This window comes from Homo sapiens, chromosome 3, assembly GCF_000001405.40.
Source record: "Homo sapiens chromosome 3, GRCh38.p14 Primary Assembly".
NCBI lineage: Eukaryota > Metazoa > Chordata > Mammalia > Primates > Hominidae > Homo > Homo sapiens.
In genome coordinates, this window is record NC_000003.12 from 170,262,515 (window position 1) to 170,278,370 (window position 15,856).

The 15,856-nt window shown below is 39.4% G+C and overlaps 1 protein-coding gene across 3 annotated transcripts in view; it reads left to right on the forward strand.

Moving 5' to 3' along the window:
• Positions 1-15,856, forward strand: part of PRKCI (protein kinase C iota) — an 83,554-nt gene that overhangs the window by 40,091 nt on the left and 27,607 nt on the right. For all 3 annotated transcript variants that reach the window (NM_002740.6, XM_047448574.1, XM_047448575.1), the window contains 5 exons: positions 865-915; positions 5,401-5,486; positions 7,907-8,047; positions 10,772-10,826; positions 12,715-12,773. In NM_002740.6, coding sequence (NP_002731.4) covers positions 865-915; positions 5,401-5,486; positions 7,907-8,047; positions 10,772-10,826; positions 12,715-12,773 — 392 coding nt within the window. The remainder of the gene's footprint in view (positions 1-864; positions 916-5,400; positions 5,487-7,906; positions 8,048-10,771; positions 10,827-12,714; positions 12,774-15,856) is intronic.

Sequence of the window (15,856 nt, forward strand, 5' to 3'; positions counted from 1 at the left end):
CTGTCACCTGGGCTGGAGTGCAGTGGCATGATCTCAGCTTACTGCAACCTTCGCCTCCCAGGTTCAAGTGATTCCCGGGCCTCAGCCTCCTAGGGAGCTGGGATTACAGGCACATCACCATGCCAGGCTAATTTTTTTTGTATTTTTTGGTAGAGACAGAGTTTTACCATGTTGGCCAGGCTGGCATCCCCTGACCTCAAGTCATCCACCCACCTTGGCCTCCCAGAGTGCTGAGATTAGAGGCGTAAGCCAACGTGCCCAGCCTAATGCATTGTTTATAGACATGTTTGTTTTCATAAGAACTTTTTTCTTTCTTTCTTTTTTTTTTTTTTTTTTAACATCAACAAAGCAAGGCAAATAAAACCTTCTTTTGTGGCCGGGCGCGGTGACTCACGCCTGTAATCCCAGCACTTTGGGAGGCCGAGACAGGCGGATCATGAGGTCAGGAGATCGAGACCATCCTGGCTAACACGGTGAAACCCCGTCTCTACTAAAAATACAAAAATTAGCCGGGCATGGTGGCGCGTGCCTGTAGTCCCAGCTACACGGGAGGCTGAGGCAGGAGAATGGCGTGAACCCGGGAGGCGGAGCTTGCAGTGAGTCGAGATCGCGCCACTGCACTCCAGCCTGGGCGACAGAGCGAAACTCTGTCTCAAAAAAAAAAAAAAACCTTCTTTTATATGGCCTTGGTAAAATGAATCCCTTTGGCAAATAATATTGATCACATGCTAAGTATCTTGTCTCAAGTGAAGAGAGGGTCAGGTTGAAATCTGGGTCAGTTTCTTTTACATTTGAATTTTAAATTCTGTGTAATTTGTATGTTTTAAATATGCTGTTAACTCATGTTCGTTTATTTTCTTTCAGTGTTCCCTTGTGTACCAGAACGTCCTGGGATGCCTTGTCCAGGAGAAGATAGTGAGTGTTTATATACTTCATACCTTTTACAAGAGTTACTATGCTATGGTACAAGTGAAAAAGAAATCAGAGATAGAATTTTTAGCTAGGTGCAGTGGACAGTGGCTAATGCCTGTAATCCCAGCACTGTGGGAAGCTGAGGTGGGAGGATCGCTTAAGCCCAGGAGTTCAAGACCAGCCTGGGCAACAAAGTGAGACCTTGTCTTTCCAAAAACACACAAAAAAATTAGCATGGTGTGTGCCTATAATCTCAGCTACTTGGGAGGTTGAGGTGGGAGGATCCCTTGAGCCCAGGAGTTTGAGGCTACAGTGAGCCAAGGTCGCACTACTTGCACTCTAGTGTGGGTGACAGAGACAGGCCTTGTCTCAAGGGGAAAAAAAAAAAGGAAATAGAAGTTCTAATTCATTTGATTTCTTTTCCATTTTTCAGTCAATTTAGAATATATTAGTGACTGCCCAAATGCTACTTTGCCAGATCAAATTCAGATAGTTCTTAGTTACAACTTACATGATTGCCTGTTGCACATATGAAAGGAATATTAAGTTAAATTTAAGTTTTAAAATTCAATTTTGGAAATGTTCAAACCTATACAGAAGTTGAAACAACATGGAAAACAAGGATACCTATATATCCTTTGCCCAGATTTACCAATTTTTAACGTTTTCCCTGTTTGCTTTATCTCTGTATCTGTCTATATCTCATATATGCATGCACAGTTATACATAACAAACACATTTTTTTTTTTTTGGTTATACCACTTGAGACTGACATGACACTCAGCACATGTAATTAGGAATTGGCTTTTTTTTTTTCTGCAGTGTTTTTTACTTAAACAGGTATTAAGTCACTTTTGTTGTTGTTGTTTTTGAGACAGAATCTCGCTTTCTCACCCAGGCTGGAGTGCAGTGACGCAATCTTGGCTCATTGCAACCTTCACCTCTGGGGTTCAAGCAATTCTCCTGCCTCAGCCTCCTGAGTACCTGGGATTACAGGCGCCAACACCATGCTCAGCTTATTTTTGTACTTTTAGTAGAGTTGAGGTTTCACCATGTTGGCCAGGCCGGTGTCGAACTACTGACCTCAGGTGATCCACCTGCCTCAGCCTCCCAGAGTGCTGTGATTACAGGTGTGAGCCACTGCACCTGGCCCCAAGTCACTTATTAAATGTCTTTAAATATTGCAGACTTCCTACAGTTGACCCAGAGAAATGTGTATATTTATTAGATCTCCAATTCCTAGTAACTTCAGGTAACCAACCAGAGTCCACAGTGGAACGGTGATTCTTACCCTTGGACACATTAAAATTGTGGGATGGAGGGAATGATCAATGCCAAATTTCCATCCCCAAGCTTAATGAATTAGTGTGGAGGTGAAATCTGGATATCTTTGTATTTTAAAATGGACTCTCAAAATGTAGCCATTGGGTCCCACAGCATCAGCTTCACCTGAGAACTGAATAGAAACTGCACTCCAGGCTGGGTGCAGTGGCTCATGCCTGTAACCCTAGCACTTTGGGAGGCTGAGGCAGGCAGATCACCTGAGGTCAGGAGTTCAAGACCAGCCTGGCCAACATGGTGAAAGCCCATCTCTACTAAAAATACTAAAAAAGTTAGCTGGGTGTGGTGGTGCATACCTGTAATCCTAGCTACCTGGGAGGCTGAGGCAGGAGAATTGCTTGAACCTGGGAAGCGGAGGTTGCAGTGAGCTGAGGTCGCGCCAGTACATTCCAATCTGGACAACAGAGCGAGACTCTGTCTCAAAAAAAAAAAAAAGAAAAAAACTGCACTCCAATCTACGTGATTCATAAACTCTTGGACTGGGGCTGAGCTACCAGATTTAACAAGCTCTTCAGGTGATTCTGATGCACACTAAAGTTTGAGAACCACCATTTAAAAGCTTCCCCAGGTCAGGAATTGTTAACGGAATTTCTTTGGAATATCTAAGCCAATGGTTACTATTAATGAGATGAACTAAGAGTGTCCAACTACTCTTTGTTCTAATGTAATTTAATATGCAAACTTATGTTTGATTGTAAGTTATTGCTTTTGGTATTTTGGCATAATTTACTAATTGTGGATATTAGGCAACTCATTTTCATTTGTGGTTTCTGCACATGCCCATCACTTTAGAAGGAATAGTGGTAAATGCTTTGCTTTGAATTAATCGAAATAGCTCTAAACTTTCTTTTTCTTTTTTTTTTTTTTGAGATGGTCTTGCTCTGTCGCCCAGGCTGGAGTGCAGTGGCGAGAACTCGGCTGACTGCAAGCTCTGCCTCCTGGGTTCATGCCATTCAGCCTCCTGAGTAGCTGGGATTTTAGGTGCCCACTACCACGCCCGTCTAATTTTTTTTTTTGTATTTTTAGTAGAGATGGGGTTTTGTATTTTTAGTAGAGTGCTAGCCAGGATGGTCTCAATCTCCTGATCTTGTGATCTGCCCACCTCGGCCTCCCAAAGTGCTGGGATTACGGGCGTGAGCCACCGCGCCCGGCCTAAACTTTCAATTCTGTATTAAGCTATCCTGAGATTTCTAATTGAGAGCATTGCAACTGGTCTTTAGTATCTTAATTTTAAATAGTAAACCCATTGCTATATTTGCTTTAAAATATGACTTTGGGAACCTGTTGTAATCTTTCTATGGTATTAACTATTACTGTTATTACCATTACTGTGGGATGTTATTATTAATGACTAATAGACAATATATAAAATAATGATGGACTTAAAAATATGAAGGTGGACTAGATTTGATCGTTTGGAACCTCTTTCTCTAACTATATTTGAGAAACATATTAATATAAAGACCACTGGATGAAAAGTTGTTGGGGAAAAAGATATGCTTCTGGTACAAAATATCACTTTACAGATTAGTTACAAAGACTGAAATGTACCTTTACAATGAAGAGATCTAGCAGTCACTACCTTTAATGGTTATTGAACATCAGTAGTGGGAGTTGATAATCCGACATTTGTGTACCTCATGAAAAGTAATGAGATAAGAAATACACAACACTACCTATGTGTTATTTTTGCCAAAGGTATTTAATACTGCCTCTAATCGTAAGTAAACAGACAAATCCAGAATGTGGGATATAATATGAAACAACTAACCAGACTCTTTAAAAAAAAAAAAAAGTCAACATAATGAAAAGGAAGTAACAACAAATAAGGCAGAGTGAATGTTTTAAAATGTTAAGGAGACCAAAAAAAGCATGATCAAATGCAGTCCCTGAATCTTGATTGCATCCTGGATAGAAAAAGTGAGCTTTGAAAGTCACTTTGGGGCCTGGCATGGTGGCCCATGCCTGTAATCCCAGCGCTTTGGGAGGCTGAGGCAGACAGATCACCTGAGGTCAGTAGTTTGAGACCAGCCTGGCCAACGTGGCAAAACCCCATCTTTACTAAAAATACAAAAATTAGCCGGGTGTGGTGGTGTGTACCTGCAATCCCAGCTACTCGGGTGGCCGAGGCAGGAGAATTGCTTAAACCCAGGAGGCGGAGGTTGCAGTGGGCTGAGATTGCACCACTGGACTCCAGCCTGGGTGATGGAGTGAGACTGTGTCTCAAAAAAGAAAGTCACTTTGAGACCAGTTAGGGAAGTTTGTATATGAATTGTATACTGGTTGATATTGAATTAATGTTGATTTTCTAAGACATGGTAAATGGTATTGTGGTTAGGTAGAATTGGGTGGCGGGGGGGTGCGGAATATCCTTAATCTCAGACAATGGATACTTGGGTATTAAAGGGTATTTAAGTGCCATGATGTCTGCATTTTACTTCCAAGTAATTCAGAAAAAAAAAAGTATTTTTTTTGTAGTGATGAAAGTAAATATGACAAAACATGAATAATTGGTAAATCTCGGTGAAAGATGCAGGTGTCTATTCTTTTACCTTTTCTGTGGGATTAAAAGATGTTCAAAATAAAAAGTTGGAGGAAAATTTTTAAAAAGAAAAGCAGTAGTAGGCCGGGCGCGTTGGCTCACGCCTGTAATCCCAGCACTATGGGAGGCCGAGGCGGGCGGATCATCTGAGGTCGGGAGTTCAAGGCCAGCCTGACCAACATGGAGAAACCCTGTCTCTACTAAGAATACAAAATTAGCTGAGCATGGTGGTGCATCTCTGTAATCTCAGCTACTTGGGAGGCTGAGGCAGGAGAATCACTTGAACCCGGGAGGTGGAGGTTGCAGTGAGCTGAGACTGTGCCACCGCACTCCAGCCTGGGTGACAGAGCAAGACTCCATCTCACCAAAAAAAAAAAAAAAAAAAAGGACAAGCAGTAGGCAGTAGTAGTCAAATATTTATACTCTGTGGTCTTTATTTTTCTTTGGTCCCTTGATGAATCTATTTTATTTTTTGACGTTCAGGTTTTTATCAGTATTTTTTTTTCTTGCAGTGAGTATCATGAAAAAATTACAGACTTAATTATAAAATGATTTTTACTCAAACTTGCTCTTTTTTCTTTTTTTAACTATTACTCTGTCTTCAGAATCCATCTACCGTAGAGGTGCACGCCGCTGGAGAAAGCTTTATTGTGCCAATGGCCACACTTTCCAAGCCAAGCGTTTCAACAGGGTAAACATAGTTTGTTGAATGTCGATAATGTGAAACAGCTATTTTTTCCCTTTCTACTATGAAAGAAAGGTAGTTTGTTATTAAGTCTTGTTATACACTTTTAAATACATAAGTAGCATGACCTTACATTTCCAGTTTGCCTGAGGCAGTATGCCTATAATTTTTAATAGCATCTCTTTCACTCTTAAAAATGCTCCAGGCCAGGTGTGGTGGCTCAGGCCTATAATCCCAGCACATTGGGAGGCCAAGGCTGCCGGATCAGTTGAGGCCAGGAGTTCATACCAGCCTGGCCAACATGGCAAAACCTTATCTCTATTAAAAATACAAAAATTAGCCAGGTGCAGTCACATGCACCTGTAGTCCCAGCTACTCGGGAGGCTGAGGCAGGAGAATCACTTGAGTCTGGGAGGCAGAGGTTGCAGTGAGCCGAGATTGTGCCACTGCACTCCAGCCTGGGCAATGGAGCAAGACTCAGTTTCAAAAAAAAAAAAAAAAAGCTCCAGATTGGATGATTAATTATTCCACATAATATACCCTAGCTGTAAGAAAATTGAATTTTAAAATATAATTTAAGGCAACCAGAAAACAAGCAAGGTTTATTTATTTAATATTAATCTTTATTTTTCCAGTTAGTGTTGTAATTTGATTTTCACTGTTTAGAAAATAATAATAGCAAACACTTATCTGGGTTGTACTACGTACCAGGCACTTTTCCAAATGCCTTATATACATTGATTCATTTCATCCTTACAACAACCCTGTAAGATAGGTACTATATGTTTCCACTTTATAGATGGCAAAACTCAAGTGCAGGGCAGTAACTTGCCCAAGATAATACAGCTAGTAAGTGATAGAACCAAAGTTTGAAAGCAGCAGTCTGTCTTCAGAAGTCAGTTATTCATTTATTATTTATTTATTTTTTTTTTATTTTAAAGACAGAGTCCCGCTCTATCGCCCAGGCTGGAGTGCAATGGCACAGTCTCAGCTCACTGCAACCTGCATCTCTTGGGTTCAAGCGATTCTTGTGCCTCAGCCTCCTGAGTACCTGGGACCACAGGCATCAGCCAACAGGCCTGGCTATTTTTTGTATTTTTAGTAGAGATGGAGTTATACCTTGTTGGCCAAGCTGGTCTCAAACTCCTGACCTCGCGTGATCCGTCCGCCTCGGCCTCCCAAAGTGCTGGGATTACAGGCTTGAGCCACCATGCCTGGCCAGAAACGAATTTTTTAAATACTCTTGATAACCGCAAATTTTTGGATGCCATTTCCATTCTAAAACTAATGCCATGTAATTAATTAATGTAAATAGAAACCACCACCCGAAATCCCTCTCCAAACTCTCTTACTTCCAGTAGCACTGACATTTAAGAAGGCTTTGAGGCTGGGTGCAATGGCACATGCCTGTAATCCCAGCAGTTTGGGAGGCTGCGAAGGGGGAACACTGAAGCCCAGGAGTTTGAGACCAGCCAGGGTAACGTAGTGTGAGATCCCATCTCTACAAAAAATACAATCATTAGCAGGGCATGGTGGCACACACCTGTAGTCCTAGCTACTCAGGAAGCTTGAGCCCAGGACGTTGAGGCTGCAGTGAATCAAAGTGACTCCACTGGACTCCAGCCTGGCTGACAGAGCAAGACCCTGTCTCTTAAAAATAAATAAATAAATAAAAAGAGAGACCAAGTGCGGTGGCTCACACGTGTAATCCCAGCACTTTGGGAGGCTGAGGTGGGTGGATCACCTGAGGTCCAGGAGTTTGAGACCAGCCTGACCAACATGGTGAAACCCCATCTCTACTAAAAATACAAAACTTAGCCAGGTATGGTGGCGCATACCTGTAATCCCAGCTACTCTGGAGGCTGAGGCAGGAGAATCACTTGAACCCGGGAGGCGGAGGTTGCGGTAAGCTGAGATTGTGCCATTGCATTCCAGCCTGGGCAACAAGAGTGAAACTCTGTCTCAAAAAAAAAAAAGAAAGAAAAGAAGAAGAAGGCGGCTTTGAAATGAGAAGTCACTTTAGGTTATTGCTCTTTAAGAAAACAGAGCTTTGTTTTGACCTCTGAACAGCCTGCAAGGTTTATGTTTGCTTAGGAGTCCTTCAATGGCTTTTTCTGCCATATATATTTCTAGTTTAATTCTGTTTTCATTATTTTGAACTTGATTATGTAAAGACTGAAAATTCTTAGACTTAGAAAGAAATGTGGTTGCAGATTTCACTGTCTCTTTAAAATAAGCTCTGTTTTTCGCTGACCTTCATAGCTTTTAAAAAATTATGTATGAGGAAGCTTTGTTTTGCTTTTGTTTTTGTTTTTGTTGTGGGCTGACAGTTGACACCGTGACAAAGGGAATTGAGTCAGCAAACTATTTGGGAAATGGTTATGACCTTCTTGGTTAATAAAATATTGTTGAATTACTCTTTTCAGCGTGCTCACTGTGCCATCTGCACAGACCGAATATGGGGACTTGGACGCCAAGGATATAAGTGCATCAACTGCAAACTCTTGGTTCATAAGAAGTGCCATAAACTCGTCACAATTGAATGTGGGCGGCATTCTTTGCCACAGGTAAGATGTCTGTCCTTTTTTTTTTTTTTTTTTTTAAGAGCGTGCTTGATAACACTGCTATAACAGAGTGCTAAAATAGGGAGGTGTTCAGGAATTACAGCACAACAGAGTAGCTACAGAGTATGGGGAGGAATACCTTACGTTACTGTTAACACACCGTGAACTTTGGAACTTCGAAATATCTGTGGTAATACTTGTCTGTGGGACACAGTTAACTTCTTTACCTGCTGTAAAATCCTCTGGTCTAAATTAGGAAGCTATAGAGAGAACCATTTAAGAGTTTTTTCCCCCTCTCCTTTAATCTGAACGTATTAGTTTATAGCTCACATTATTCTAGCTTCTATCCTAAGCAGATATCAGGTAAGAAGAGTCAAAGGTATCATGTTTGTTATTTAAACTGTGAGATTACTGGCGAGGAAAGCATTTAAAATTTTTATTTATTAATTTCTATTTTAAATATATAAAACATGTTTGTTATCGAAAAAAATACAGAATACAGATGAATAAAGAAAACTAAGTAAAAGTCCACATATATTCTACCATGTAAAGGTAATTGTCATTTGGTGGATATCCTTCCAGAACTTTTCCTGTGCAAATTTATATGCATAAACATTTTTAATTTTCCATATGGAAAAAATGTAAACATGTATAAGAGTAGGTGGAACACTATAATGAACTCCCATTTACTAGACATCCAGCTCCAACAGTTATCAACTCATGTCTAATCTTGGTTTCATCTGTACCCCCATTCACTTAACTTCCCCTTGCCCTGTATTATTTTCAAACAAATCTCAGACATATTTCAGTATGTACCTCTAAAAGAGAAGGACTTTTTTAAAAACCTAACTAAAAAACAAATTCTTTATGTCAAATATCCAGTAAGTGTTCTCATAAATATTATAATTTTGTTTTTATAGTTTTCATTATGAATCAGGATCCAAATGAAATGCACTTGTACAATTGATTGATCTCTTAGATATTCTTTAATTTACTGGTTCTTTCTTCATTTCTCTCTCTTCTTTTTTTCCTTACAATTTAATTGTAAAAGAAACAGTTATTTGTCATTTACACTGTTGTAAAATTTTGCTCATTACTTCTCCATGGTTATGTTCAGTATGTTATTGTCTTCTTTATTCTTTTATCTTGTACAGTAGTTGGATGTCGAGGTTTGATTAGATTCTGGGGTTGGTTTGTTTGTTTTGGTGGATTGTTTTTGAGTCGACTTTACAGAGGGTTGTTTATCCACCAGAAGGCACATGTGCTTGCCTGTGTCTTTTTTGTTATTGTTTTGAGACAGAGCCTCGCTCTGTCTTCCAGGCTGGAATGTAGTGGCACAATCTTGGCTCACTGCAACCTCCACCTCCCAGGTTCAAGTGATTCTCCTGCCTCAGCCTCCCAAGTAGCTGGGATTACAGGTGTGTGCCACCATGCCCAGCTAATTTTTGTATTTTCAGTAGAGATGGGGTTTTTGCCACGTTGGCCAGGCTGGTCTTGAATTCCTGACCTCAGGTGATCCACCTGCCTCGGTCTCCCAAAGTGCTGGAATTACAGGCGTGAGCCACTGCACTTGGCCAATCTTAGTGAACTTTCTGGCAAATCTTACTTCCTTAAGGATCCAGAATTAGAATTACTGGGTTAAAAGATACGCATTTAAAAAAATACCTGGATGCAGCTATCTAAGCACACTGCCTATCGATTAGCCCTGCTCCACAAGGAACAGTCAAAAAAAGAAAGAAAAATACCTGGATGCATCTTTCTAAATTGTCCTTTAGAATTGTTATTCCATGTTTATTCATGGGACTTGCTTTGGACATTGTGAAAGCAGGTTATTACCGGTAGCTCTTTGGTATTAGAATCTTTAATTAGTTCATATAAGCTTAGGAATGGGTTTGTAGTAAAGGGGAAAATCCAATCTTAAGGAAAAACAGAAGGCTGACTATTTCCAACATATTTATGTAGGTTACTATTAATATTTTTGAGTATTCTTTGGTGACATATGGAAGGAAAGGGGGCAGGGTTAGTGATTATATTGAAGTTTTAAAAATCCTTAAGCTTACTTATGAGCCTTTCTTTAACGCAGCCTTGAAATGCTAACTGTATCATTAATGTTCTTTCTCAAGTTTACTTTTTCCTGCTGGTATTCATTAAATGTGAGTCTAAGAATAAATCAGTAATAACTTGGGTTTGAATTTACCTTTTTCCTGAGATTATTCGCCATTATTTGGGTAAGTTGGATTCTAGAAAGTATTTCTTTTCTCTTTTTTGGGGCCACTGACACCCTTGAGAATCTTCAGGAAAATGGGAAACCCACAAAATTTTACATGTAATTTTAAGAGGTTATAGACATCCTGAAGTCTACCCCGGACCCCAGCTAAAGAATGCATATTCCAGAAACTTATTTTTGCCAAAGATCTGAAGTGGAGCTTGAAGGAAGAATAGGTAGTGTTGAAGAGAAGCAAAGCAGAATATATGGCAGTTTAATATGATTTCTAATTGGTGGTCTGAAATTAGTTTTGTATTTTCTTTTCTGTAAAATGTGACTAACATTACCTCATTCACAGCAGTATTGTATAGTTTCATAAAACAAAATTAAAAGTAAATTCTCACTTAAGTTATATTCTTTCAAAATTAAATTTTAATATGCTGTGTGTTGTTGAAATAGTGTTATTTCTGGTGTAATAGAGGTACTCCACTGAGTTACTGTGTCTTTGGAAATGTTTGTAGGAACCAGTGATGCCCATGGATCAGTCATCCATGCATTCTGACCATGCACAGACAGGTAAGAGTGGTGCTGGCACAACCCATTGTTCATTCACAGAGTAGCATGTAAAGACTTACTTAGGTGACTCTCTTACCCAAGTTTAAAAACATTTACTTCTTCCCAATTAAAAGTAAATACATATATTTTGTAGTGGTGAAATCAGTCACACTATTTAACATACACATTTGGCATTTTTAAAAGACAACTGTGGGCTGGGTGCGGTGGTTCACACCTGTAATCCCAGCACTTTGGGAGGCTGAGGCAGGTGGATCACCTGAGGTCAGGAGTTCGAGACCAGCCTGGCCAACGTGGTAAAACCCCGTCTCTACTAAAAATACAAAAATTAGCAGGGTGTGGTGGCACACTCCTGTAGTCCCAGCTTCTCAGGAGGCTGAGGCGGGAAAATCGCTTGAACCCAGAAGTTGGAGGTTGCAGTGAGCCAAGATCATGCCACTGCACTCTAGCCTGGGTGACAGAACAAGACTCCATCTCAAAAAAGAGAGAGAGAAAAAAAAAAGACAACTGTGGGCTGGGTGTGGTGGCTCACGGCTGTAATCTCATCACTTTGGGAGGTCGAGGCAGAAGGATCCCTTGAGCTCAGGAGTTCAAGACCAGCCTGGCCAACACAGGGAGACTCTGTCTCTATTTAAAAAAAAAAAAAGTATGTAAACTACAACAAATGACTATTTTTTCTAGTTCACATAAATTTCTTTTGAGACGCCTTTAAATTCAGCAAACTCAGTTTTTTTCCATAATGAAAAACATGAGGCTGATTTTGTGGCCCATGTTGACTGTGTTCAGGTGACTCGCTTTTTTCTTTTTCTTTCGAGACAGAGTCTTGCTCTGTTGCCCAAGCTGGAATGCAGTGGCGTGATCTCGGCTCACTGCATCCTCCACCTCCCAGGTTCAAGTGATTCTCCTGCCTCAGCCTCCTGAGCATCTGGGATTACAGGTTCATGCCACCATGCCCAGCTAATTTTTTTGTATTTTTAGTAGAGATGGGGTTTCACCATGTTGGCCAAGCTGGTCTCGAATTCCTGACCTCAAGTAATCCACCCGCCTTGGCCTCCCAAAGTGCTGGGATTACAGGCATGAGCCATGGCACCCAGCTGAAGTGACTTGTTTTTATTAAAAGCTTTATTATCAGAAGTAGAAATTATGTGAAACATAGAGAGATGCAATATAGGAAATTCCAGGAAGATGGTGTAACTGAAAACGTTAGATAGATACAAAACCTTAAACACGTATCTGGGAAATTTGGAGAGCAGTGCAAGGAGGTAGAACAGCATGATCTTCTCTGGACTAAATCAAGAAAGGGAAAACAAGGGAGTTTTTCTGGAAAGACAAAATGCAATCTCGTAGTCATAGAATGATCAACTCTATGAAATGCAGGCTCTTTTTTTTTTGCCCCAAGTAGCTTTAAGAAGTAGAAGTTCCATCCTTGTCTGTTCTTTACTTGACCATTGTGGTAGTTAGGAAAATTCTGAGTACAATGGAGTGAGAAGTGAAAACCAGAGGTCCTGTATCTCTATGTCTTAGTCATACTAAAAAATTTAAACATATCTTATAGAGTCATTTGTTTAGAAGGAAGTGTTTGATTAATTTGTAAAGAAGAGAAATGTTTTAAAAATAACGAAAGTACTTGTTAAAAGCAGTACTTGGCTACCAGGTTGTGATGCTTGCTCTCTTTACCCTCACTAAAGATTAGGATTTAACTATTGTATTTACATACAATTTGTTATTAGTAGGACAGATAGTCAGTTTTAAATAATGAAAATTTATTCAGAAGTAAAAACTAAAATAAAAATCAGGAGACAATTTTTATTTCAAACTCATTAATGGTTGCTGTTTTTTTCTCCTGCACCTTTTTTTTTTTTTTTTTTAATGTTTGGTATTGGGTTTTTAGTAATTCCATATAATCCTTCAAGTCATGAGAGTTTGGATCAAGTTGGTGAAGAAAAAGAGGTAAGATAATTTGTCTTATTGTACATTATATCATTAGCTTTTTAATAAGGCTCAGGAGTTTAAAAGTATGACATATTGACCTGCTTAGACTTTAGATCATAATGGTGAAATGCAAAAATGATTTGTAATGATTCCAGAGTTTTATTCTGATTTAATTTAGTAATTAAATTACTAATTTAAACTAGGAAATAATTTAGTGGGATAACTTATTTTCATTTTAAAATAGCTTAATCTGAAAATTACAATGTATTTAAGGATACTGTTTAAAATACTTGGTAGTATTGTTTAAAATATATAGTAGACCCTTCCGTTTTGTGCCTGAATTGCTTATTTAGACAATAAATGATTAAACATATTAACTGTCATTGTTTTTTTGACTATTAAGTATTTTATCAGTTTTTAAAACAAAACAAATAATTAAAATGATTTGATTAAAATAATAATCAGTTTTTTGAAAAAAGCTTATAGTGAAAAAGATAATCATGTCTCCCACCTTCCACTCCCAGTTTGGCTTCTTGGCAACCTTTTAAACCATTTCTAGTTATGTCCATAATATTTATATTTCTGTTTTTCAATTTTTTATTTTTGTGTATTTCTGGACATGAAAGATTTAGTTCACACTGCCTCCTCTCTTTCCCGTATCATTCTTTTTTTTTTTTTTTTTGAGTTGGGGTCTTGCTGTGTTGCCCAGGCTGGAGTGCAGTGGTGTGATTATGGCTCACTGCAACCTTAAACTCCTGGGCTCAAGTTATCTTCCCACCTTAGCCTCCCGAGTAGCTAGGACTATAGCCCTGTGCCACCACACCCAGCTAATTTTTTCATTTTCTATTTTGTAGAGACAGAGTCTCACTATGTTGCCCAAGCTAGTCCCGAACTCCTGGCCTCAAGCAGTTCTCCCAAATCAGCCTCTCTAAGTGTTAGGATTACAGGCATGAGCCACCATGCCCAGCCAAAACTTTGAAACATAAATAAAAGTAAACAATAATATAACAAAGCCCTTGTATCTATTGTTAGTTAAAACAGCTATCAATTCATGTCTAGCCTTATTTTGTCTACTCACTTCCCTCACTCCTGTATTATTTTGAAGAAACCTGTTAGTCACCTATTTGATGTTATGTTTTAGTTTCTTGTTCTGTTTGTCTGAAAAAGTCTTTTTTTCTTTTTAACTTTTTTTTTTCTTTTTATTTTTTTTGTGAGACAGGATTATTGCACAGGCACCCGTGCAGTGGTGCAATGATGGCTCACTACAGCCTCAACTTCTTGAGTTCAAGCCACCTCAGCCTCTCAGGTAGCTGGGACTACAGGCATGTGTCACCACTGGACCCTCATCACAATATACAAAAATTTACTCAAGGTGGAATAAAGATTTAAATGTAATACCTCAAACTATAAAAATCCTAGAAGAAAACCTAGGAAATATCCTCTCGACATTGGCCCCGGCAAAGAATTTTTGGCTAAGTCTCCGAAAACAATTGCAACAAAGCCAAAAATTGACAAGTGGGACCTAATTAAACTACAGAGCTTCCACGCAGCAAAAGAATCCACCAATAAACAGACAACCTAAAGAATGGGAGAAAATAGTCACAAACTATACATCCAACAAAGATCTCATATCCAGAATTTATAAGGAACTTAACAGCAAAAAACAACCCCATTAAAAAATGAGCAAAGGGCTGGGCATGGTGGCTTACACCAGTAATCCCAGCACTTTGGGAGGCAGAGTCAGGCAGATCACTTGAGGCCAGGAGTTTGAGATCAGCCTGGCTGACATAGTGAAACCCCATGTCTACTAAAAATACAAAAAAAAAAAAAAAATTAGGGCGTGGTGGCACACACCTATAATACTAGCTACTTAAGAGGTTGAGGCACGAAAATCATTGGAACTGGGGAGGCGGAGATTACAATGAGCCAAGATCATGCCACTGCACTCCAGCCTGGGCGACAGAGCAAGACACTGTTTAAAAAAAGAAAAAAAAAAGGGCAAAGGACATGAACAGACATATCTCAAAATAAGACCTATAAGCAGCCAACACACATGAAAAACCACTCATCGTCACTAATTATCAGAGAAATAGAAATCAAAACCACAGTGAGATACCATCTCACACCAGTCAGAATAGCTGTTACTAAAAAATCAACTTGGGCGTGATGGCTCACACATGTAATCCCAGCACTTTGAGAGGCTAAGGCGGAAGGATTGAGCCTGAGAGTTCAAGAGCAGCCTAGGCAACATAGTCTCTACTAAAAATACAAAAAATTAGCCAGGCTCGGTGGCAGGCGCCTGTAGTCCCAGCTGCTCGGGAGGCTGAGGCAGGAGAATGGTGTGAACCCAGGAGGCGGAGCTTGCAGTGAGCAGAGACTGTACCAGTGCACTCCAGCCTGGGCGAAAGAGCGAGACTCCGTCTCAAAAAAAAAAAAAAAAGAAAATTACAAATAACACTTTTACTGTTTCTCTAGAAGATGCAGTGACCTTGGCACACCTTAAATTCATTCCTTTTCCATTCCTGCCTTTGGGTGTTATTATTATCAGAGTTTAAAATTCTGTGTGTGTGTATATTTGTTTTTTTAAACAGTTACTCCTTATGTAGATTTACCCACATTTTACCCTTTTTGTTTTTCTTTCCTTCCTACGTCTGTTCCTCCATCTGAGATCATGCATTTTCTCCTTCAAGAACTCAATTTAGTTTTTCCTTTAGTGAGCACCTAGTAGTGATGGATCCACTCAGTTTTTCTTTGTCTGAAAATGTTTTTCTTTCACTTTCACTTTGTGAGCTACTTTTGCAGGATAGAGAATTCTAGGTCAGCTGTTTTCTTCTTTTTTAGGCCCTTTGAAGATGACATTTCACTGTTAAGTGGCGTCTATCATTTCATTCAGCCTTATTATTGTGTCGGTGAAGTTAACTCTATCTTTTTTGCTCCACTTGATTCTCTCTTATAGTTTCCAGTTAGCCATATTTCAAGTCTATGTGTTGACTTACTTTCTTACACTTCTCTTCTTTCTTAACCTTCTCAAACCTGGTTTCTTTTCACTCTGCTGTATTTACCCTTGTGTGTTAGTCTGTTTTGTGTTGTTACAAAGGAAT